The sequence below is a fragment of the Homo sapiens genome, chromosome 5 (assembly GCF_000001405.40).
Source record: "Homo sapiens chromosome 5, GRCh38.p14 Primary Assembly".
Taxonomy (NCBI): domain Eukaryota; kingdom Metazoa; phylum Chordata; class Mammalia; order Primates; family Hominidae; genus Homo; species Homo sapiens.
Genome location: NC_000005.10, coordinates 10,277,149 through 10,301,670, shown reverse-complemented (window position 1 = coordinate 10,301,670; position 24,522 = coordinate 10,277,149). Strand labels below are relative to the sequence as shown.

The 24,522-nt window shown below is 46.2% G+C and overlaps 1 protein-coding gene across 6 annotated transcripts in view, besides 3 other annotated features; it reads left to right on the top strand.

Annotated features, from left to right (window-relative positions):
• The window catches only part of CMBL (carboxymethylenebutenolidase homolog), a 30,308-nt gene extending 6,232 nt beyond the window's left edge, over positions 1-24,076 (top strand). For all 6 annotated transcript variants that reach the window (NM_138809.4, XM_047416714.1, XM_047416716.1 and 3 more), the window contains 5 exons: positions 10,890-11,123; positions 13,142-13,249; positions 15,175-15,317; positions 19,383-19,474; positions 21,039-24,076. In NM_138809.4, the coding sequence (NP_620164.1) occupies positions 10,909-11,123; positions 13,142-13,249; positions 15,175-15,317; positions 19,383-19,474; positions 21,039-21,218 (738 nt within the window). In that variant the 5' untranslated portion in view covers positions 10,890-10,908 and the 3' untranslated portion in view covers positions 21,219-24,076. The remainder of the gene's footprint in view (positions 1-10,889; positions 11,124-13,141; positions 13,250-15,174; positions 15,318-19,382; positions 19,475-21,038) is intronic.
• Positions 1,339-1,515: a silencer, noted in NCBI's record as "fragment chr5:10300268-10300444 (GRCh37/hg19 assembly coordinates)". NCBI's record gives its function as "represses an EF-1alpha promoter that drives an FKBP-Casp9 reporter gene in an ReSE screen in K562 erythroleukemia cells {active_cell/tissue: K562}" and the evidence as "EXISTENCE:reporter gene assay evidence [ECO:0000049][PMID:32094911]".
• Positions 17,244-17,373: an enhancer, noted in NCBI's record as "active region_22352". NCBI's record gives its function as "activates an Ori minimal core promoter by ATAC-STARR-seq in GM12878 lymphoblastoid cells {active_cell/tissue: GM12878}" and the evidence as "EXISTENCE:reporter gene assay evidence [ECO:0000049][PMID:35858748]".
• Positions 17,474-17,543: a silencer, noted in NCBI's record as "silent region_15917". NCBI's record gives its function as "represses an Ori minimal core promoter by ATAC-STARR-seq in GM12878 lymphoblastoid cells {active_cell/tissue: GM12878}" and the evidence as "EXISTENCE:reporter gene assay evidence [ECO:0000049][PMID:35858748]".
• Positions 24,077-24,522: the final 446 nt, after the last annotated feature.

Sequence of the window (24,522 nt, the reverse complement as noted above, 5' to 3'; positions counted from 1 at the left end):
GAGATCGTGCACTGCAATCCAGCCTGGGTGAGAGAGCGAGACTCCGTCTCCAAAAAAAAAAAAACCCGAAAAGAAAAAGAAAAAAAGAAAGCTCTACAGGCCTGAACTTGCTGCTTGTGTCTGAGGGGTGGGGCAGTCTTGGAACTGAGCCCTCACTGCCCCACGCGCCCCCACCCCTTACCTTTGGTCATGGTGTTGATGATCGCTGTATTGTGAGAGCAGAGGGAAACATGGCTTGAGAGTTTTTCTGAAATGGTGTCAAATGACAATGTTGAATTATTGAGTCTTACTAATTATAGTTCTATAATGTAGCTTATGAAAACCAAACCAAGAAAACTACAGTCCAGTTGTCCTTGATTGGATAACTAGTTATTAATTTCTTTCTTCTCAAAATCTAATTACTTTATTTCTAATTATGAAACACTAAGAATATTCAGTAATGTGAAGGGAATTATATAACAGCCACCCTTTCACATCACCCATATTTGAAAGATAATACCCTTTTGCCCTATATACTTCAAATCAAAACTTTTTAGGGAAATAAAACATAATAAAGCCCACGATCTCCATTTTTTCTCCCCTCTCTTCCCGGTAACCAATTGTCCTAATGGTGATAATTCATTCTCATGCGTGATACTTTTCCTACAGTATATTTATGAATAAAATGTATATTTTTGGTTGTTATTTATTTAGCATCAAAATGTATGTTTTTTGGTTGTTATTTAGAATCAAAATGCTATGTCTTTTTACATAGCATTATGTCTTTGAGATTTTTCAAGTTTTGTATTTCTATTTTTAAATAAAAATAAATATATAAAAAATATAAATATATATAAATAAATATATAAAAAATAAATAAATAAAAATAAAAATAAAAATGTCTCTCTTTGTTGCCCAGACTGGAGTGTAGTGGCATGATCATAGCTTACTGCAGCCTTGAATTCTTGGGTTCAAGTGATCCTCCTTTCAGTCTTCTGAGTAGCTGGGACTACAGGTGCATGCCACCATGCCCGGCTAATTAAAAAAATTTTTTTGTAGAGACGGGGTCTCCCTATGTTGCTCATGCTGGTCTCATACTCCTGGCCTCAAGCTATGACCATGCCTCGACCTCTCAAAGTGCTGGGATTACAGGCCTGAGCCACCATGCGGGTCTGGAGATTTATTATATTGATAAATTACAGGTGCAGCCTGTTCATCGAACTGTTGTGTAATATTCTTTTTATGAATGTATTTGTTTTCTAGGGCTGCCATAACATTACCAGATACTGGGTGACTTAAAGCAACACAGTGCCTCATAGTTCTGGAGGCCAGGAGTCCAAATTGAAAGTGTCAGCAGGGCTCTGCTCTTTCTGAAACCTGTAAAGGAGAGCCCTTCCTTGCCTATTCCAGCGTCTGGTGGGGGGCCAGCAATCCTTGGCTTGCAGGTGCATCCTTCCCATCTCCACCTCCATCTTCACACGGCCTTCTCTTCTGTGCGTCTGTTGTGTCTTTGTCCACGTTTTCCCCTCCTTAGAAGGACACCAGTCATTGGATTTATGGTCTACTGTACTCCAGTATGACCTCATCTTAACTACAGGACATCTGCAAGGACCCTGTGTCTAGTTAAGGTCACATGCACGGGGAGTGGGGGATAGGACTTAAACATGTATTTTGGGGGAATACAATTCAACCTACATCAATCAATAAATTACAGTTTATTCATTCTCCTGTTGATGGTCAATTAGATTGGTTCCAGGTGTTGTCATCATATTAGTGGTGCCAAGAACATTTTTCCATAATCACTGCATGTGCCTGTGTGGGCATGTGCAAATTTCTCTCTCTCTCTCTCTTTTTTTTAGATAGGGTCTCACTCTTAACACCAAGCCTGGAGTGCAGTGGTGCAGTCTTGACCTCCTGGGCTCAAGCAATCCTTCCACCTCAGCCTCCTGAGTAGCTGGGACCACAGGTGCACACACCACCATGCCTGGCTAATTTTTCTGCTTTTTTTTTTTTTTGGAGAGATGGGGTTTTACCATGTTGCCCAGGATGGTCTCGAACTCCTGGGCTCAAATGATCCCCCCGGCCTTGGCCTCCCAAAGTGCTGGGATTACAGGCATGAGCCACCATGTCCCACCACATGTGACATGAATTTCTCTAGGGAAACATCTAGTGGTGGGATATCTAGGGTGCGGGGCATCTGCTTCTTTAACTTTGCTAGACTCCTTCCAGGGTTTGTATCATTTCACATGCCCTCCCATTTCCCTACAAGTGTACCATCATCTCTGTGTTAACAGACTTTTGCCAATCTGCAAGATGGAAAATAGTATTTCATTCTTGTTTTTATTATAGTTTCCTTAAGAACAGTGAGGTTGAATATCTGTTCATATGTTTATGGGCCATTCAGGTGTACTTTTTTGTAAATTGCCCATTCATATGAATTTTTCTATTGGGTTGTCTTTTTCTTGGTGACTTATAAGAATTCTTTATATATTTTATCTAGACACTAAGTCCTCTGTTCCTAAAATAATACCTTCTCCTAGTCTATCTTGTTTTCTCACTTTGTTTATGGAGACTTTTATCTTGATATTAATGTTAATCATTATCTTATTAATCTTTCATCTTAGTTACTATCTTATTAATGCAATTTTAAGAGCTTTTTGTCATGGAAAATCTCAAGCATATATAAAAGTAGAGAGATTAGTACACAGGACACTCCAGCTGCACCACCATCAGCACGTGGACACCTTGTCCACCCTACCCCACATGGAGCTATTTTGGGTTTTTGTTTGTTTGTTTTTTGAGATGGAGTCTTGCTCTGTCGCCCAGGCTGGAGTGCAGTGGCGCGATCTCGTCTGACTGCAGCCTTTGCCTCCTGGATTCCAGTGATTCTCATGCCTCAGCCTCCGGAGTAGCTGGGATTACAGGCGCTCACCACCATGCCTGGCTAATTTTTGTATTTTTAGTAGAAACGGGGTTTTGCCATGTTGGCCAGGCTGCTCTCGAACTCCTGACCTCAGGTGATCCACCAGCCTTGGCCTCCCAGAGTGCTGGGATTACAGGTGTGAGCCACCGCACTCAGCCCAAATGGGGCTATTCTGAAGTAAATCCCAGACCTCTGGTCATGTCATCTGTGGGTACATCATGATATCATGATGCATCTATGAAAGACAAGGACTCAAAAACACATGGCTGCAATGCCATCATCTTCCCCTGCCAAAATTCACAATAATTTGCAATTTCATCAAATATCCACTTAGTATTCAGTTTTCTGCAGTTGTCTTTCCTTTTTTTTTAAATTGGTTACCATGAAATGGGATTTATAATCCTTTTCTTTATGGTTTATGTTTTTTGGGTCAAATTTAAGAAATTCTGCCTTATTCCAAAGTACAAGAAAAAAGTATTCAGTATTTCCTTCTGATTGTTGAAATTTCGCCTTTCCTACTTAGATTTCTAGCCACGCACTGGGGTATGTGGGGATCCATGGTGATTTGTTTTCTTACCTGGGTAGCTCAGTGCTGCAGCCGTGCCCCATTGATGGCCAGTCCCTCCTCCCCCCACAGGTCCCTCCTGCCCCCTCTCATGACTACAGAGCCCATTGTATCTGACCCCCTCTCTCTGCCTGCTCTGCGCCTGCTCTTCGCCTGTTCCCACTGCTGGACCTGGCTGGAGGAAACAGCCATACGTACTTCTCGCTGGTCCCCTGTTTTCCTGCTTATCCTCTCCCCAGCCCTCGTCCCGCCTCTCACCCTGAGCTGCTGACTCTGCTTCTCAGTTCTGTGAGCAAACAGATGCCAACAGGGAGCATCCACACTCTCCCGCCCCACACCCACCACCACCTGTGTCTGTGTCCACGTCCTCAGCCTCCCTTGGGTGCGTGAGGACTGTCCACGCTGCCAAAGAAGGCAGCTCCTCTGCTATGCGCCAGACCCTCCTGTCACACTCTCCAGTTCCCTCTCTCCCGGGGTCATTGATTGTGTTTTGTTTGTTTTCCTTTCTATGGTATCATTCTCATCCACGTACAAATAGGCTGAGATTTCTTCCACTTTAAAAAAAAAAGGCTCATCCCTGTGTCTTCCCTCCATCTTTTGCACAGTCTCTTTGCTCTTTTTTTTTTTTTTTTTTGAGATAGAGTTTCGATCTTCTTGTCCGGGCTGGAGTGAAATGGTGCGATCTCAGCTCACTCTAACCTCTGCTTCCCGGTTCAAGCGATTCTCCTGCCTCAGCCTCCCAAGTATCTGGGATAATAGGCATCCACCACCCTGCCTGGCTAATTTTTGTATTTTTAGTAGAGACGGGGTTTCCCCATGTTGGTCAGGCTGGTGTCGAACTCCTGACCTCAAGTGATCCACCTGCCTCCGTCTCCCAAAGTGCTGGGATTACAGGTGTGAGCCACCACGCCCGGCCTCTTTGCTCCTTTTTCTGTCAAAAGTCTTCTAAGAGTTTTCTGTGTTCACTCTCTTTAGTTCTCTCCTCTCTCATTCTCTCTCTCTCTCTCTTTTTTTTTTTTGAGATGGAGTCTCACTCTATTGCCTAGGCTGCAGTGCAATGGCGTGATCTCGGTTCACTGCAACCTCCGCTTCCCAGGTTCAAGCAGTTCTCCTGCCTCAGCGTCCCAAGTAGCTGGGATTATAGGCATGTGCCACCACGCCTGGCTAATTTTTGTATTTTTAGTAGAGACGGGTTTTTACCATGTTGGCCAGGCTGGTTTTGAACTCCAGGCCTCAAGCAACCCACCCACTTTGGCCTCTTAAAGTGCTGGGATTACAGGCGTGAGCCACCGCGCCCAGTCTCCTCTCAGTTTCTTTTAAGCCCACTATGATTATGCTGTCACCCATGCCCTCGTCCAAGCCTGTCCTTGTGGAGGTCACCAATGACCTTCACTTTGCCAAACGCGGAGGGCAACACTCAGCATTCATTGTTCTCCCCTCAACACCCATTCTTCACTTGGGTCCAGGACACCACACTTGGGGTCTTCCTCCCCCGTCACTGGCTGTTCCTTCTCAGGCTCATTCCTCACTCGCTGATTCCTTCCCATCTCCCTGAAGTGTTAGTGTTGAAGGACCCCAGGGCTCAGTCTTCTAGATTTCTCTTTTCTTCATCCACCATTATTCCCTGAAGGATGTCATTCATTCTTAAAGTTTAAATATCACCTACAGGCCCGGCACAGTGGATCACCTGAGGTCAGGAGTTTGAGACCAGCCTGGCCAACATGGTGAAAACCCATCTCTACCAAAAATACAAAAATTAGCCAGGTATGGTGGTGCTCGCCTGTAGTACCAGCTACTTGGGAGGCTGAGGCAGGAGAATTGCTTGAAACTGGTAGGTGGAGGTTGTAGTGAGCCGAGATTGTGCCACTGCACTCCAGCCTAGGGGACAGAGTGAGACTGTGTCTCAAACAAACAAACCAAACCCACATACAGTCATTCTTGGTATTTGTAGTAGTAAAGTCCCTACAAACACTGAGTTAGCAAATCCTAAACCATTCCTCCTGGGGAAAATACAAGGTTAGCTTCCTGTAAACCTGTGGCCTGGTCACAGCGGTTTCCTCAGTTGACCCATACATAACCCTGGTTTTATGTGTGTTTTTGTGGAAGATACCATTCTAATATATATTGTTGACTCATTAACAGGAAGCTCATGGCCAACAGGACTGTAACTCGTGCCTGAACAAAGCTTCTCCAATACTCGCATTTTCTCCATAAGGCACATCACAGCCTTCCCGTGCTTAGCAATGCTAGATAGCATGTGAGCACTAAGTGCGGGGCCCTTTTAAACAGCAAAATCAACCCCTCAAAAAGCACAAAAATGTGCACTAAGACCATGCAAAGGACACTTGTTTACACTGTGAGAGCTCAAATGAGAAGCAGAGTGTTGTGGGCAGTTGGGCTGCTCTAACAAACGTGGCTTCAACAACAAACATTTCTCACAGTTCTGGAGGCTGGAAAGTCCAAGATCGAGGCGCTGGCAGATCCAATGTCTGCTGAGGGCCTGTTTCTGGTTTGCAGATGGTCATCTTCTGGCTGTGTTCTCACCCAGCAGAAAGAAGGGAAGCCAGCTCTCTGGGCCCCTTATATAAGGCACTCATCCCATTCTTGAGGGCTCTGCACTTGTGAACTACTTGCCTTCCAAAGACCCTACCTCCAAATATCATTCCACTGGAATTAGGGTTTCAACATCTGACTTTTTGGGGACACATTCAGTCTATTGCACCCTGTGTGTCCTCAGCTGGGAATGTGGACATTGACAGTTCACATTTTTCGAATGTCCATGAATGACGGTGAGGTTACAAAATACATTCAGCAGGTATGGCCAGGCACAGTGGCTCACATCTGTAATCCCAGCACTTTGGGAGGCCAAGGTGGGCGGGATCACCCGAGGTCAGGAGTTTGAGACCAGCCTGGCCAACATGGTGAAACCCCGTCTCTATTAAAAATACAAAAATTAACCAGGCATGGTGGCGGGCACCTGTAATCCTAGCTATTAGGGAGGCTGAGGCAGGAGAATCGCTTGAACCCAGAAGGTGGAGGTTGCAGTGAGCCAAGATCATGCCACTACGCTCCAGCCTGGGCAACCAGAGCGAGTCTCTGTCTCAAAAAAAAAAAAAAATCAGCAAGTAGATGAATTCATCAATACAGGATCTGCAAACAATGAGGGTCAGCTGTATACTCACATCACTCTCAAAGTTTTCGTTTTAGCTTGGGCCCCTGGCCCTTGAACTTCTATCGTGTTACCCAGCTTTTCTCTGGGATGTGTAATAGATACCTCAGCCTTAATATGCCCCAAACTGAAGTCCTTATCTCCTCAAACCAGCTCTTCCCACATCCCTTCTCATTTAAACACACTCCATCCTCCAGTTTCTTAGGCAGGAACCCTTGTAGTCATCACGGACTCCTCCTTTTGTCTGATGTCCCCACAGATACAATCTGTCAGCAGAACTGAGTGGCTCTGCCGTAAAATCTGTCCACACTTGACCATTCCCGCCCTCTCACCATCACCGTCCTGGTGTGAGCTGCTTCATCTCTTGGCTGGATTGTTGCTGGAGCCATCCAACTGGACTTTCTTTTCTTCCTTTGCTACTTGATGATTTCTTCTTAAAACAGCATCTTCAATGATCCTTTTTTTTTTTTTGAGACAGGATCTCTCTGTGTCATCCAGGCTGGAGTGCCATGGCATAGTCATGACTCACTGCAGCCTCGACCTCCCAGGCTCAAGGGATCCCCCTACCTCAGCCTCCTGAGTAGCTGGGAATACAGGCATGTGCCACCATGCCCAGTTAAGTTTTGAATTTTTTTTTGCAGATATGGGGTCTTGCTGTGTTGTCCAGGCTGGTCTCAAACAATCCTCCCACCTCAGCCTCCCAAAGTATTGAGATTACAGGCATGAGCCACTGTGTCAGGCCAATGATACTGTAAATCAAGTCAAATAAAGCCACTCATTTCCCCAAAATTCTCCAGTGGCTTCTATCTCACACTGAGGAAAAACTAAATTCTTCCAGTAAAACTCTGGGAACTCACACTATTCTCTGCTGTTCTCTCCCCTTGCTCTTTCTGTTGCAGCCACACTGGTCTTGCTGTTCCTCAGACATGTCAGACATGCTTCTACCTCAGGGCCTTTGCACTTGCTGTTTGTTCTGTCTCAACCGCTCTTCCTCCAGATATCTGCAGGGCACCACCCCTCGCCTCCTTTGCCCAAATGGTGCCTTTCCAACAAGCTGTTCCCCAATACACCATTGTAAATTGCAACTCACACCCTCAACCAACATTGTCTTCTTTCCTTCTCTGCTCTGTTTTTCTTCTTAGCATTGATTACCATCTGAAAAGCATATTGTTTTTGTATATTTCATCCCACTAGAATGTGCTTCCTGAGGTCAGGGATTTTTATTTGTTTCATGCTCTGCTGTTTCCCCAGAACCTTCGACAGTGTTTGTCACAGAGTGGTGCCTCAGTAAACATTCTGTGGATGACTGGATGAATACACATGAGTCTGGTTCTAGAGTCTTTGGTCTGTTCTATTGATGTATTCATCTATCCAGCAATACCATACTGTTTTAATAGGTTTTGTTGTTTGGTAAATTAATTTCTCCTTCTTCATTTTCTTTCAGTTATTGTGGCTATTCTTGTTTCTTACCTCTTTTTTTTAGTTTTAACATATGTTGAAATCCTAACCCTCAAGGTGATGGTATCAGGAGGTCGGGTCTTTGGAAAATGATTAGGTCTGAGGGCAGACCTCTTACTATAGGGAATGTCCTTATAATGGAGACCCCAGAGAGCCAGCTAGTTCCTTCTACCCCGTGAGGACACAAGGAGAGGGCACCACATATGAACCAGAAAGTGGACCCTCACCTAACATTGCATCTGCCAGTCCCTTGAACTGCGACTTCCCAGCCTCCAGGACTGTAAGAAATAAACCTCTGCATTTATGAGCTACCCAGTTTACTGTATTTTGTTATAACAGCCTGAATGGACTAAGGCTTCATTCTATTTTTTTCTTCTAACTTCTTGATATTTAGCTTACTTTTATTCTTTCCTCTTGTTCAAGTATATGTAGTCTAGGCTGTAAAGATGTCTCTAATTACTGCTGTATTGATTGTATCAAGTTTTGCTATGTAGTGTTTTCATGGTAACATGGTAATCCAGTTCTAAATCTTTTGAGTTTTATTATAATTTCTTCGTTGTATTTGTATAGCATTTGTTATATAAAATCTTTACTGAAACTTTGATTGTGGGTTAATATGCAGGCAGTTCACATCTGCTTGTAAAGACTGTGTTCTCCAGTTGTTCATGAAGGGAATTACATATGTCTTTGGGTTTAGTGTTCCTAGTTCCTCTTTTTTGATGGAACCTTAATTTTTTTTTTTTTTTTTTTGTGAGACAGAGCCTCGCTCTTGTTGCCCAGGCTGGAGTGCAATGGCGCAATCTCGGCTCACTGCAACCTCCACCTCCCGAGTTCGAGCGATTCTCCTGCCTTAGCCTCCCAAGTAGCTGGGACTACAGGCGCCTGCCACCACACCCGGCTAACTTTTGTATTTTTAGTAGAGACGGGGGTTTCACCATATTGGCCAGGCTGGTCTTGAGCTCCTGAACTTGTGATCCACCTGCCTTGGCCTCCCAAAGTGCTGGGATTACAGGCGTGAGCCACCATGCCTGGTCCGGAACCTTAATTTTTAAAAAGTCTAATTTGAACCAGGCATGATGGGTCACACCTGTAATCCTAGCACTTTGGGAGTGTGAGGTGGGATGATTGCTTGAGCCTAGGAGTTTGAGACCAACCTGGACAATATAATGAGACCTTGTCTGTATAAAATTTTTATTCTAAAAAAAGGAGCTGATTGTGGTGGTGTGTGCCATAGTCCCAGCTACTTGGGAGGCTAAGGTGGGAGGATTAGTTGAGCCCAGGGAGGAGGTCGAGGCTGCAGTGAGCCGTTTGTGACACTGCACTCCAGCCGGGGCAAGATCCTGTCTCAAAAAACAAAACAAAAAAAAATCCAAGTTGAGAATCTGTCTCAGCTAGTGAGTTTAATCTGTTTCCATTTATTTAAATTTAGGCAGGCCTGATGGCGGTGAGTTATCTCAGTTGATTGTTCACAGTCATTTACAAATCAAATTCCTTGTTCTACTACTCCCACTTTCGCCGCCTCATTTCCTGCTTTTTAATGAACAGGTTTTTAATTTCCTAATTCCTTCCTGTTTTCCAGTTTGATTCACCAAGTGTTTCTAGGTGAATTTCAAACCCCATTCCCACTGTAAATTCCTCCAGGGTGTTGTGTCTGCTGATTCTTGTTTATTTGGATCGCCTCCTTGTGTATAGGTTTTCCTGATGAGCTGCTCTTCAGCGGGTCGTATTTTTGGCCTGGATTGTGGAAGTCTTGTGGTAAAGTGGATTTGCATTTGCCTCTGCCTGGTGTTCCAGGCAGTTCACTGGCCCAGAGTCAATTGTGTTAATTTCTCAGCCAGGTATTCCTACTTTGCAAGCATGGTATACATTTGAGGATTGCTTTCTTTTTCTTTTCTTTTCTTTTTTTTTTTGTTTTTGAGACGGCGTCTCGCTCTGTCCCCCAGGCTGGAGTGCAGTGGCGCGATCTCGGCTCACTGCAAGCTCCGCCTCCCGGGTTCACGCCATTCTCCTGCCTCAGCCTCCCGAGTAGCTGGGACTACAGGCGCCCACCACCACGCCCGGCTAATTTTTTGTTTTTTAGTAGAGACGGGGTTTCACCGTGTTAGCCAGGATGGTCTCGATCTCCTGACCTCGTGATCCGCCCGCCTCGGCCTCCCAAAGTGCTGGGATTACAGGCGTGAGCCACCGCGCCCGGCCGAGGATTGCTTTCTTTTTTCCCTTCCACTCAGAATCTAGACGGAGATGGGTTTCTTCGCACACACCTGAGCCTGGCGGATGGAGCTCTTCTCCTTTTGCTTTGGCCCCCTTCCGTGAGACATGAACCTTTGGGGCTCGACATTGCAGGCGTGGGTCTCTTACAAATTCCCGTCTCATGTGCTTCGATGGCTCTTTCTACACGTCGACACAAAATCCTAAGCACCCGACTGTTAGGGTGTGCTCCTGAGTCGGGTCCTGTCCCCCAGCATCACTGGGCCCCGTCAGCATCTGTGGGTGTCACCCTCACTCTGGCTTTCTGTTTCCTCTCCGATCCTGCCCCCTGAAGAGTCCCTTTTCCCTGTGAGTTCTTTCATCGCTATTTTTTGTTGTTTTGTTGTTATTCAATCCGGCATTTCTAGTGTCTATAGCCTTACTCTGCAGTGTTGCCAGAACCAGAAGTTACCATTGGTTTCTCACATAATACCATAGATGTAGCTAAAATGAATTTTTTTCTATAATCTTGATTTGAGGTTTACTTACCATTTATAGCCTTTAGATTTGCAGCATTCAGAATATAACGCATGTTTCTCTCTCCATAGCCCGACTTAAATCTCTGCAATGGCTAACGAAGCTTATCCTTGTCCGTGTGACATTGGCCACAGACTTGAGTATGGAGGGCTAGGCCGTGAAGTTCAAGTCGAGCACATCAAGGCTTATGTCACCAAATCCCCCGTTGATGCAGGCAAAGCTGTGATTGTCATTCAAGATATATTTGGCTGGCAGTTGCCCAATACCAGATATATAGCTGACATGATCTCAGGAAATGGATACACGTATGTATAAAGTTGTGTTTCTTTGTTTAAATTCATACAAATTTCAGTGGTTTATTTTGTTCCCTTTAAAAAATAAAACCACAGCGGTCTGACTATACAGTATCTACTGTACATTAGAAACTTCCCTATCTCACTGCCGTGAAGATAGATGGGAAATGTCTTGGGAAATTAAACACCCACCTGGTGCTCCTAACCCCATTCCTGGGTTTCCTGTCCTCCTGGGAGTACCTGGCCTTTAGACTTGCTGGACATTGAGAATTCTTTTCCCGTGTGGGGCCTCAGCCAGACGCAGGCACTGGACATCTGAGGCCAGCCTCACCTGCTGTCAAATGGACCCGTGACTCGGTCCTTCAACAGCTCAGCCTCGTGTCAGATTTCACGGCCCATTTGGACGGCAGGGTGTCCAAGGCTCCTCCTGGTCCATACACGTACGGTCGTGGCCCCCTCTGAATTAGACTGGGGTTCAGAAGTGGCACAGTGAGACCTTGCTCCCCTCCCCAAGTTTACCTCTTTGTCTGGCCAAGTGGCCATGGCCACCTTTGGCCAAGGCTGATACCCGATTGCTTCTTATTTGCCCCGGTGTAAAGCGCAGAGGAGGGCCAGAACCTTCCTTCCTCTCCAGCGTCGGAAAGCATCAACCCAGTGAGCCCTGAGGATGGTGCACGGCTGGATTTCCTTTGTTTTCACAGAAGGAGAAGCTGGAAACCCGAGGATGAGCCTACCTTGTTTTTCTAGGAAGAGAAACTGGCTTAAAGGAATCATGCCCACCCTGGTGGGATGCAGAGTCGGTGCTGAATGAAAAGACCTTCCTTGAAGTTTTCCTTTTTCACGTCCCCATGTGAGGGGACTTAACTTTCTAGGGGCAAGCCCAGTAAAAATAAATAAGTAAATAAATAGCTAGTTTCAGTTGCTCAGCCAGACGCAGTGCTGAGGGCATGACTGGGCTCATTGCCCTTAGTCCTCCTGGCAGCCCCTTGAGGGAGGAGCTGTTATTGCTCTCATTTTGCAGATTAGGAAACCAGGCCATAAAGAGAGCGCTTTGCGGCTGCCCCAGATCACTGGCCCAAGCAGCCGATCAAATGGCATTGCTGTTTCTGTTGTTTCACGGAGGGTCCTTTAGCAGGGGTCAGGACATAAAAGATAAGGAAAGACCCCTGTTTTACAAAGCCCTTTCACAGGTATACAACTTTTTTTGCCCTCGAGAGGATCCTCTGGGGTTAGGCAGTGCAAGTTTGTCAGATGAGAAAATGAGGCTAGAAGCGGTGACATGACTTGTGAAGGCCAAGGCCACACAGCAGCATGGGGTGTACCGAGCCTCGAACTTGGATTTTCTCACTCCAGTTTCAGTGTTCTTCTACCCCTATAGGAGGAGCCCTGTTCCTCCAACCAGGTGGCAATTCTATTTTGGGAAACAGGACTCAACCCCAGCGGCTGGCTCTATCCCTCTGGGTTGACTTGCATGGAAGAGCGACCTGGACTGGGGCCAGGCTTGTTTGTGCTCTGCTGCCCGTCTTAGAACATACCCTCTGGATAGGAAACTGTGCTTCGTCGCCGTCTTGGTGGAGGCTGGGAACATTGCCTGGTCATAGTGACTGGACAAGTTAGCCAGGTGTGCCCTCTGGCCTGAGGCTCATGTGAAAGGCCAGGAGTCTCCCCAGGCTGGCTGAGAGGGGCAGGAGGGGCCCTCAAAGCCACCCACGTCAGGCCCACTCCCCCAGGTGCCTCCACATCCCATGCCAGCCTATCCCATGGGAGTGTGCCCTGTGGATAGCCTCATTGCCAGGGCTGGGTTACCAGCAGGCTGCCAGACGCTGTGCACCTGCGGTTGTGAAACCTAAGAGGGCTTGGCCCGGTGCCAGGTGGCTGCTTTGCTGCGATCAAAATTGGCCTTCACACCCACTACTTTTCCTTTTCTCTGAGCCAGAATCGCCAACGTAGCAAGTTTTTAAATAAATGCAAGCAAAATACTGAGTCAAGCAACTCTGAAACTAAGATCAATTCATGTCCATATTTTGCAGAACCATTGTTCCAGACTTCTTTGTAGGGCAAGAGCCTTGGGACCCCTCTGGCGACTGGTCTATCTTCCCTGAGTGGCTGAAAACAAGAAATGCCCAGAAGATCGATAGGTGAGTTATCCGCAGACGTGGCCATGTGCACGTTGTGGCCCAGGGAGGTGAGAGCTGGGTGGGCTTCACCTTTCAGACACTACTCCTTACCTTGGGGTAGGACTTCTCCATGGCCAATGGAATCCTTCCCCTGGCACAAAGGAGAAAAAATTTTTTTTTGTTTTTGCTCTGTTGGAGCCCAGGCTGGAGAGCAGTGGCATGATCTCGGCTCACTGCAACCTGTGCTTCCCAGGTTCAAGCAATTCTCCTGCCTCAGCCTCCCGAGTAGCTGGGATTACAGGCGCCTGCCACCAGCCCGGCTAATTTTTGTATTTTTAGTAGAGACGGGGTTTCACCATGTTGGCCAGGCTGGTCTCAAGTGCTGGGATTTTTTTTGTAATTAAAATTTTTAGGCCGGGCATGGTGGCTCACACCCGTAATCCCAGCACTTTGGCAGGCTGAGGCTGGCTGATCACTTGAGATCAGGAGTTTGAGACCAGCCTGGCCAACATGGTGAAACCTGCCTCTACTAAAAATACAAAAAACAAACAAACAAACCAAAAACTTAGCTGGGTGTCATGACGCACGCCTGTAGTCCCAGCTACTTGGGAGGCTGAGGCATGAGAATTGCTTGAACCTGGGAGACGGAGATTGCAGTGAGCCAAGATGGCACCACTGCACTCCAGCCTGGGGGACAGAGCGAGACTCCATCTCAAAAAAAAAAGAAATTAATTAATTAAAAATTTTAAAATAAAATAGAGATGGGGTCTCACTATAGGCGTGAGCCACTGCACCCAGCGGGGATAGCATTCTTTATGTGATGATGATCAATATCAAACAATATTTTTATGAGCACCATCTATGAAAATAGAGATTTTAGTGCATCTGTCACCGAGTAGTGTACAGTTTACCTAATATATAGTTTTTTGGCCCTCACACCCTCCCACCCTCCCCCTTCTGAGTCTCCATAGTCCATTATATCACTCTATGTGCCTCTGTGAATCTACTCATAGCTTAGCTTCCACTTATAAGTGAGAACATACAGTATTTGGTTTTCCATTCCTGAGTTACTTCCCTTAGAGAAATGACCTCCAGCTCCATCCAAGTTGCTGCAAAAGATATTATTTTGTTCTTTCTTATGGCTGAGTATAGTCTATGGTGTATATAGGCCACATTTTCTTTATCCACTCATTGGTCAATGGGCGCTTCGGTTGCATATCTTTGCAATCGTGCTACAATAAACATACGTGTGCAGCCCACCTCCACTTTGGTACATTGCTTCTAGTTGAAAATGTATTCTGAGTTCCAAACAATCAGTTTGCACATGAATCATTTGCCAGACAAGGGCCACTATTCTTGGTCCCCTCATGGCTGAAATAGTCCTGATGGCGTTCCAAATTTGGCTTCACTGGGCGGCAGGGGGAGGAGACGAGCAATGCAGAGTGGGGAGTTTTGGGGAGAGAGTGAACGTGTGAAGTCAGAGAGTGTCTGGGCGTCTGCCCATAGTTATGGCTGCTCATGGGAGAGAGGAGAGAGGAGACTCTTCTCCTGGGAGACTCAGGGGACAGAGAAGACTGGGGCACTCTGCAGGGAGCAGATCATGGACTCGGGTCTTACGAACCGTGCTGTGGGCTGTGGCCTTCATCCCCAGGCTGTGGAAGACTGCTCAGCTCTCAGCTGGGAGTGAGGCAGTTGGACCTATGTTTTGGGAAGAGCCCAGCTTGCCTGCAGCTGTCAGGCAGTTGGAGGAGGGCTGGGCTTGGCAGGAAGATGTGCTGGGATGATGCATCAGTTGGGCCAGAGGTAGTAAGGGTGGAGCTCCCAAAAGAAGAAACCTTGGCAACTTCAAAAACAGTTGCTGATACAGCCCTGTTATCATCAGCACAGCTCTTTGAGGGGTTCACAAAATAAGCCTGATTCTTGAATATTTTTTCTTTCTGTTCTAGAGAGATCAGTGCTATCTTGAAGTATCTGAAACAACAGTGTCATGCCCAGAAAATTGGCATCGTGGGATTCTGCTGGGGTGGAACTGCTGTCCATCATTTGATGATGAAATACTCAGAATTCAGGGCAGGGGTGTCCGTCTATGGTAAATCTGCCTTGTGCATTTTTACTCCATGCAGAAGGGAGGGGTGGAAGAGTGACAACAATCACAAGCCTCCCCATCCAGTGTAACACAACCCCCAATAATGTGAAGACTGCCCATCTTATGGAAATGGGTTTTAAGAATCTGAAAATAGAGGTGGAGGTTTGTCATGCAGTTAACCAGAGGATGTCACCGGGAGTCAAGAGGTCTGGGTCCCAGTGGTGTGACTTTGGGAAAGCCACCTAATCTAAATTCTCCATTTCTTCACCTAGGATGAAGGGGATAGCTTTTTTTGTTTTTTTAATGTAATGATGATCAATATCACACAAGATTTTTATGAGCAACATCTATGAAAATATTTTTCTGGTGGTGGCTAATGCCTGTAATCCCAACACTTTGGGAGGCTTAGGCAGGCAGATCACTTGAGCTCAGGAGTTCGAGACCAGCCTGGACAACATGGCAAAACCCTGTCTCTACAAAAAATACAAAAATTAGCTGGGCGTGGTCACGTGCACCTGTAGTCCTAGCTACTCCGGAGGCTGAGGTGGGAAAATCGCTTGAGCCCAAGAAGGTCAAGGCTGCAGTGAGCCATGATCATGCCGCTGCACTCCAGCCTGGGTGACAGAGCAAGACCCTGTCTCAAAAAAAAAAAAAAAGAAAAAGAAAGAGAAAGAAAGAAAGAAAGACTGATTTTTCCAAGATACAAATTGCTCTAACTGTACACAAACATGCACACACACTAAGAAAGAAAGCAAAGGCAGCCAGATGCGATGACTCACGCCTGTAATCCTAGCACTTTGGGAGTCCAAGATGGGCAGATGGCTTGAGCCCAGGAGTTCGAGACCAGCCTAAGCAACATAGAGAGACCTTGTCTCTATAAAAAATTTTAAGGCTGGGCGTGGTGGCTCACGCCTATAATCCCAGCACTTTGGGAGGCCGAGGTGGGTGGCTCATGAGGTCAATAGTTCGAGACCAGCCTGGCCAATATGGTGAAACCCCGTCTCTACTAAAAATACAAAAATTAGCTGGGCGTGGTGGTGGGCGCCTGTAGTCCCAGATATTCAGGAGGCTGAGGCAGGAGAATCGCTTGAACCCGGGAGGTGGAGGTTGCTGTGAACCAAGATTGTGCCACTGCACTCCAACCCAGGCAACAGAGTGAGACTCTGTCAAAAGAAAAAGAAAAAAATTACTTGGGTGTACTGGCACATGCCTGTGGTCCCAGCCTCTCAGGAGGCTGAGGCAGGAGAATCACTTGAGCCCAGAAGTTTGAGGCTGCAGTGAGCTGTGAATGCACCACTGCACTCCAACCTGGATGACAGGGAGTGAGACCTTGTCTCTTAAAATAAAAAATAAAAAAAAAAAAGGAAAGAAAGCCAAGGAAAACACACTCTAAAATCGAAATAGCAATTTATACATTTTTGGCCAAAACAAACCAAAGTTACTACAGCAATGAAATAACATTATATCTGTATATAGAAACTGCTTGCTAAATTCATGATATAGAAGCATTCAGACCAATAGATAAACGAAAACAAAAAAGACACATAGGAAATATAGCCTTTAAAAATAATGCAGATGCTCCTCTACTTACAATGGGGCTAAGTCTTGATAAACCCATCATAAATGGAAAATATCTCAAGTCGAAAATGCATTTAATCCACCTCACCTACCAAGCATCATAGCCTCACCTGGCCGACCCGAAACACCTGCATCAGGCTACAGTTGGGCAAAATCATCTAACGCAAGGCCTATTTTATAATAAAGTCTTGAATGTCTCATGCAGTTTATTGAATTCTGTACTGAAAGTGAAAAACAGAATGGTTGTCTGGGTACTTGGGGAACAGTTTCTACTGAATGAGTGTCGCTTGTGCACCATTGTAAAGTCAAAAAATGAAAGTGGAACCATCGTTAGGCCTGGGACCATCTGAAGTGGATCATAAAGTTATACTAATGATTCCTTCTTGGGTTAATGGTTCCTCATTGTGGTATTTTCAACTACTTTTAGAGTTAAAAACGCCTTTAAATATTGACTTAGGACAACACAAAAGGACATAAACTCAAAAGGCAGTGGCCAGCTGCCTCTGGGAACAATGGAGCTGAGAGATGCTTTGTCCAGACCATGCTTTTGCGCGATTTAGCAAAAGGCGGTCGGGAGTGGATGCCTCCCCGGCGCCACCTTCTGGCCGCTGTTGTGTAGTGCGTGAGCTGCAGAGCGTGGCCGGGCTCAGGCCCAGGGATATCAAAAGAGGCCCATCCACATGAAGTAGCTTTGCTAGAGTGGGGAAGGGAGCGTGGTCACCTTTCCCGTGGCTCCCTGCCTCCTGAAGAGGAGTTACAGGTGAAGGAGGCTCTCTCTGTTACTTAGCTCTTCTGCTGCCAGCAGGAAGTGGAAAAAAGTTATGTTATTTACGTCTTCTTATCTTAAAATGGTTAACTTGCTGCAAATCTTTTACTTACTTATTTTCGCATAGAAGTGGACACACCCACAGGTTGTTTTCAGACAACCTGGGTCAGGCAGAGCATGCTTCTAATTTCAGAATTAATCTCGAATGAATGCTGAGATGAAAGATGAAAACTATTGTTATTATTTTTTGAGACAGCATCTTGTTCTGTCACCCAGGCTGGAGTGCAGTGGCACGATCTTGGCTCACTGAACCTCCACCTCCTGGGTCCAAGCAATTCTCCTGTCTCAGCCTCCTGAGTAGCTGGGGCTACAACACCCAGCTAATTTTGTATTTTTAGTAGAGACAAGGTTTTGCGTGGGTGGCCAGGCTGGTCTCGAACTCCTGACCTCAAGTGATCCACCCCGCCTTGGCCTCCCAAAGTGCTGGGATTACAGGTGTGAGCCACCTCGCCCGGCCAAAAACTGATTTTTATAGACTGACCTGCTAGGCCCAGGCAGTTTCACACTTCCACACTTCCACACTCGTGGTCTGGTGCGAGTCTAAATACCCACTCAAAAGACAGCTCCTCTTACCAACAAAACTACTCAGTGCATTCAAGCCAGAACCCGTGGGACTTGTGTAGACCTGAGAAACTTCTCAAGCGAAGGTTTGACATTGATCCTCTTTGTAAACGAAGGTACATCCCAGCGGGACATTCCTCAGGCTGCTCCGCATCTTTCCATACTAAGCAGCGGACGAGGTATCATTCAATTATTTAATGGCCTGATTCCCAGTCCATAAAGTGGGGAGGTAGACAGTAGGAGGATCTGACTAAATAAATTTCTCTTGTACTCTTATAATCCTCTTTTTTTTTTTTTTTCTGAGACGGAGTCTTGCTCTGTTGCCCAGAGCTGGAGTGCAATGGCATGATCTTGGCTCACTGCAACCTCCACCTCCCGGGTTCAAGCCATTCTCCTGCCTCAGCCTCCCGAGTAGCTGAGATTGCAGGCGCGTGCCACCACACCTAGCTAATTTTTGTATTTTTAGTAGAGACAGGGTTTCACCATGTTGGCCAGGCTAGTCTCGGACTCCTGACCTCATGATCCGCCCTCCTCGACCTCCCAAAGTGCTGGGATTACAGGCTTGAGTCACTGCGCCCAGGCTTTGGGTTTTTTGTTTGTTTGTTTTGTTTTGACGGGGTCTCACTTTGTTGCCCAAGCTGGAGTGCAGTGGCACAAACGGCTCACTGCAGCCTCAACTTTCCAGGCTCAAGCAATCCGCCCACCTTAGTCCCCGCAAGTAGCTGAGACTACAGGCATGCACCACCACACCCGGCTTATGTTTGTATTTTTTGTAGAGACAGGGTTTTGCGATGTTACCCAGGCTGCTCTCAAACTCCTGAGCCCAAGCCATCCACCTGCCTCAGCCTCTCGAAGTGCTGGGATTACAGGCGTGAGCCACCGCGCCCGGCCTTCTTTTACGCTAATCTTACAAGTGGGGCCACTTCTGTGGAATGGCTAAAAAAGAAAATAAAGTCCGCAAAGCAGAGATTTTACTTTGAAAAATCAAACCCAAATGTTGCAGTTTTCTGTGGCATGAGTGTGGGGATCATGCGGCATGGGTGTGGGGATCATGTGGCATGAGTGTGGGGATCAGACATCATGCCTCTGTGCTTGTTTTTCAGGCATTGTCAAGGATTCTGAAGACATTTACAATTTAAAGAACCCCACTTTGTTCATTTTTGCTGAAAATGATGTTGTGATTCCACTCAAGGACGTAAGTTGGCATCTTTTCTCTTCGTATTTATTTATTTGAGATGGAGTCTCGCTCTGTCGCCCAGGCTGGAATGCAGTGGCGCGATCTCGGCTCACTGCAACCTCCACCTCCCAGGTTCAAGCCATTCTTGTGCCTCAGCCTCCCGAGTAGCTGGGACTACAGGCGCCCACCACCGCACCTGGGTAATTTTTGTATTTTTAGTAGAGACGGGGTTTCACCATGTTGACCAGGCTGGTCTTGAACTCCTGACTTCAGGTGATCTGCCTGCCTTGGCCTCCCAAAGTGATGGGATTATGGGTGTGAGCCACCACGCCTGGCCTCATTTATATATTTAATAGCACGGTTTGACATTCTGCGGGGAGTGGGAAGTCTTGAAGGATGCATTTGTTGCTCCAAATATTTCCAACATTAACATTTTAAAGATGGGTTTTATTCAATTCCACTTATATAATTCCAGTGTGGAAGTATAACCTTCCCAAAACATGCTTAAGGAAATGTCTGAGGGAAGTATTCTCAGCATGGCCTGGTTACCTGGTGGAGAAACGGGACCTCTTGCCCCACCTCCATGCTAACCCACAAATTACAATAAAGTCTGTGACCTTAAAGACAAGGATTTATTAAACAAAGTCAGTTGATAAGGAAAAAGCAGAAGAAAAGTATGGTTCAAAAGCAGTCATTTAGCTGGGCGTGGTGGCTCATGCCTGTAATTCCAGAAACTCAGAAGGCTGAGGTGGGAGGATTGATTGAGGCTGAGAGTTTAAGACCAGGCTAGGCAGTCTAGCTAGATCCCTTCTCCACAAAAATATAAAAAAATTAGCTGGGATGGTGGCACACATCTGTAGTCCCAGCTATTTGGGAGCCTGAGGCAGGAAGATTGCCTGAGCACAGGAGTTGGAGGCTGCAGTGAGCCACGATTGTGCCACCGCACTCCAGCCTGGGTGACAGAGTGAGACCCTGACTCTTAAGAAAAAAAAGCAGTCATTTAGAAATTATTGTTATAATATTAGTAACTAATATATTAATGCAAGTGATTTCAAATAATAGATGTATCATTTTTCCATTTCCCTGAAATCTCTCCTTTGCCAGACATAAGGACTGTGTTAGTTATAAAATTAGCAGTAGAGGCCGGGCGCCGTGGCTCACGCCTGTAATCCCAACACATTGGGAGGCAGAGGCAGGCAGATCACTTGAGGTCAGGAGTTTGAGACTAGCCTGGTCAACATGGTGAAACCCTGTCTCTACTAAAAATACAAAAATTAGCTGGGCATGGTGGCGGGTGCCTGTCATCCCGGCTTCTCCGGAGGCTGAGGCAGGAGAATCACTTGAATGTGGGAGGCAGAGGTTGCAGTGAGCTGAGATGGCGCCACTGAACTCCAACCTGGGCAACAGAGTGAGACCCTGTCTAAAAAGAAAAAAATTAGTGGGAAAGAATTCAGTGTAACTGTGGAACTTGTTTCTGATTTAAAGCATTGATGTTAAATTTCTGTTATGAACGCTCACTAAAGATTTGGAGAATGGAAAGTATCACTAAAGGGTTAAAATCATGAAATCTTTTGCACACCAGGTATCTTTGCTGACTCAGAAGTTGAAAGAACACTGCAAAGTTGAATATCAAATTAAAACATTTTCTGGGCAGACTCATGGGTTCGTGCATCGGAAGAGAGAAGATTGCTCACCTGCAGACAAGCCCTACATTGACGAGGCCAGAAGGAATTTAATTGAGTGGCTGAACAAGTACATGTAGCAAGAATCAAGGGCAAGCCTTCCTAGAATAGCTTTCATCCCAAAATTTGCTTGGAAATAGTTAGATCATTTGATTTAATTTTCACTTTTATAAAATAAGTGTAGGAATCCTAAAATTGATTATTTCATTTGAAACACAAATTCAGTAGGACGTAATGCATGAAATAATTTAATTTTTGACATGTACATCGAATCATAATTTAAAAACAAGGTCTGACCAGGTGTAGTGCCTCATGCCTGTAATTCCAGCACTTTGGGAGGCCAAAGTGGGTGGATCACCTGAGGTCAGGAGTTTGAGACCAGCCTGGCCAACATGGTGAGACCCCATCTCTACAAAAAATACAAAAATTAGCCTGGTGTGGTGGTGCACGCCTGTAGTCCCAGCTACTTGGGAGGCTGAGGCACAAGAATCAATAGAACCCAGGAGGTGGAGACTGCAGTGAGCCAAGATTGTGCCACTACTGTACTCTAGCCTGGGCAGCAGAGTGAGACCCTGTCTCAAAAATAAATAAGTAAATAAATAAATAAATAAAATAAAAACCAGGTCAGTACCTGGAGAATTTGAATGATAGAGAATGATAGAGTAATACCCTAATTATTAGTTAAAACCTACAGGCCGGGTGCGGTGGCTCACGCCTGTAATCCCAGCACTTTGGGAGGCCGAGGTGGGTGGATCACTTGAGGTCAGGAGTTCAAGACCAGCCTGGCCAACATGGTGAAACCCCATCTCTACTAAAAATATAAAAATCAGCCGGGCATGGTGGCATGTGCCTGTAATCCCAGCTACTCAGGAGTCTGAGGAGGAGAATCACTTGAACCTGGAGGCAGAGGTTGCAGTGAGTCGAGGTTGCGCTACTGCACTCCAGCCTGGACAACAGAGGGAGACTCTGTCTCAAAAAAAAAAAAAAACCTACAGCTGTTCAAGGACCAGCTGACAGGTCAAGTGTGGCCTTTTCTGGTCTTTGAACACATCATAGAAAGTGACAAATGCTGCAAAGCCATGAAGAACATGAACTATAAACGGGTAGACTAACTGCCCAGCTTAGACACTTATCTATGCCACAAAACAGCTGAATTTGTCACATTTATATATTGCAATATGGGAAGTATTGAGATCAAAACAGGATTCCATTGACCTAATTATATTAAGCTAATAAACTAATTTTTTGAATTTTTGAATTTGCAGCTTTTTTAAAAAGATAGCAGAGAACGGTGGGCTAGAGTTGTCACCCAGCTGTTGTCTCCTAAGCAGTGGATTTCCAAGCACTGGCATTTTTGGGTCCCAGGGCCTGAGGCTACCTCAGAAATATCTCCTGTGTTTCTGGTGGTGGCGTAAAGGGGAGAGCCGGTGAGAAACTCTGCACCTGCACCTACGGGGTGCGTACATGTGACTTTGGGCAAGTGACTTGATGTTGTAGTTTTTTTCCTAATTTTGTCTTGACGTCCTTCTCAGGAGAGAGTGGCTGTAAACTCTAGCCCTGCCCTGACGGGGATCCTGGGGATGTGGTCGTGGGTGTTTCCCATGTGCCTTTCATGGGATCCTTCTTTGACCTCACAGACGGCCTGATTCCTGAGTGTCCAACCTGTGGCCAGGTGTCCCTCTCGCAGGAAGCTTGTTTATCCTGGCACATGACCTTGTGGCTCTCATCTGACCTGTGTCCAGTTTATTCCTACTGAGACAGCCACTCTCCCGGAGAGCCCTGACCGGGAAAGAAGTTAGGATGGGGTAGAGGAGGCAACTCATCAGAACCCAAGAAATGACAGAAGCAGTTTATTGCTTACAGATCCAGAGAACAGAGGGCAGCACGCTTCACAGGGCCAGCAAAAAGGGGGAGCCATTCAGGACACATGGGCTCAACCAGAAGGTGGAGAACGAGAGAGAGAGGGAGCTATGAGCCAAAGCCTTCACTGGGGCCCAGGGTGTCATCTATGCAGGTTTCCCCTGGAGGTTCTAACTGGGGGGTTTAGAGCAAGCAGGCATGAGCCCCGGGGACTCACGCTGTGACTGAGAGGGGTCGGTGTGGGTAGGATATCGGCATGGTCCATGTGGGTGTGGGGGTCAGTGGGACAAGTCAAGCAGGTGGTATCCAGCTGTCCATGGGAAGGTGGTCCCAGGAGGCGGTTTTGTAAGGCAGATGTCTGGATCGACCACCTTGGGGAACAGTGAGAAGTTGTATAACTGGAAACTGTGTTACTAATCCCTGCTTCTAGTATGAGAAAGTCCAACTTACATTCAAATAGATGCTCAGGAAACATAAAATTCAAAGAATTCCCAAACTTGAGCTTCCTGAGCCTCAGTTTTTGCATCTGTCAAATGGGTATGGGGAGACCCTTTGCCTAATGTTGAGAGAATCCAAGCCTGAGCAGGGCTGGTCTACTGTGGACACTTAGTTGTGGACCCCAACAGGCCAAAGCCCTTGCCTGCTGAGGGCTGCTCCCAGGAGGCCTCACACATTCATCCGGCCTCCCAGGAAACCCCTGAGATGTGCTGGGCTTTTGCCGTGGAACGGTGTCGGTGAGCATGTGGCCAGTAGCCAGAGTCTTCAACATAGGTGGGAGGTCTGAAATTCGTGCGAGAATGAACCAAGGGTGTGGCTGTATCCTTCATGGTGAGCTTGGGGCCTGGGCAGCCTTCCCTCTGCTGAGTCCTTTGGTCAAATGTCATGGTGTTCTGAACCAGCACTGCAGATAGAAGTATAATGTAAGTCACACACGTACTTCTTTAAAAAGATATGTTCTTCAGTGACTATTAGACAAACAGATAAATGAAGGTAAAGGGAAAAAATGGCAACTTTAGCTTTTTTCCCCATGTATGTAATTTTAAATTTTCTTATAGCCCCATTAAAAAAAGGAAAGAGACACAAGTGAAATTAATTTTAATAATGCATTTTAGCCCAATTTATCACAAATGTTCCATCAGTGTGTAATCAATGTAACGAATCATGAGTGAGATATTTTGTATTTTTTTTTTTTTGTTCCTCTATCTTTGACATCTGGTGTGTATTTTCTGCTTACACATATCTCCATTTGGATGCTAACTTTTCATCAGAAGTACTTGATTTGGCCAGGCACAGTGGCTCATGCCTGTAATCCCAGCACTTTGGGAGTCTGAGGTGGACTGATCATTTGAGGTCAGAAGTTCAAGATCAGCCTGGCCAACATGGTGAAACCCCATCTCCACTAAAAATTCAAAAATTAGCTAGGCATGGTGGTGGGCACCTGTAATCCCAGCTACTTGGGAAGCTGAGGCAGGAGAATCACTTAAACCCGGAGGTGGAGGTTGCAGTGAGCTGAGATGGTGCCAT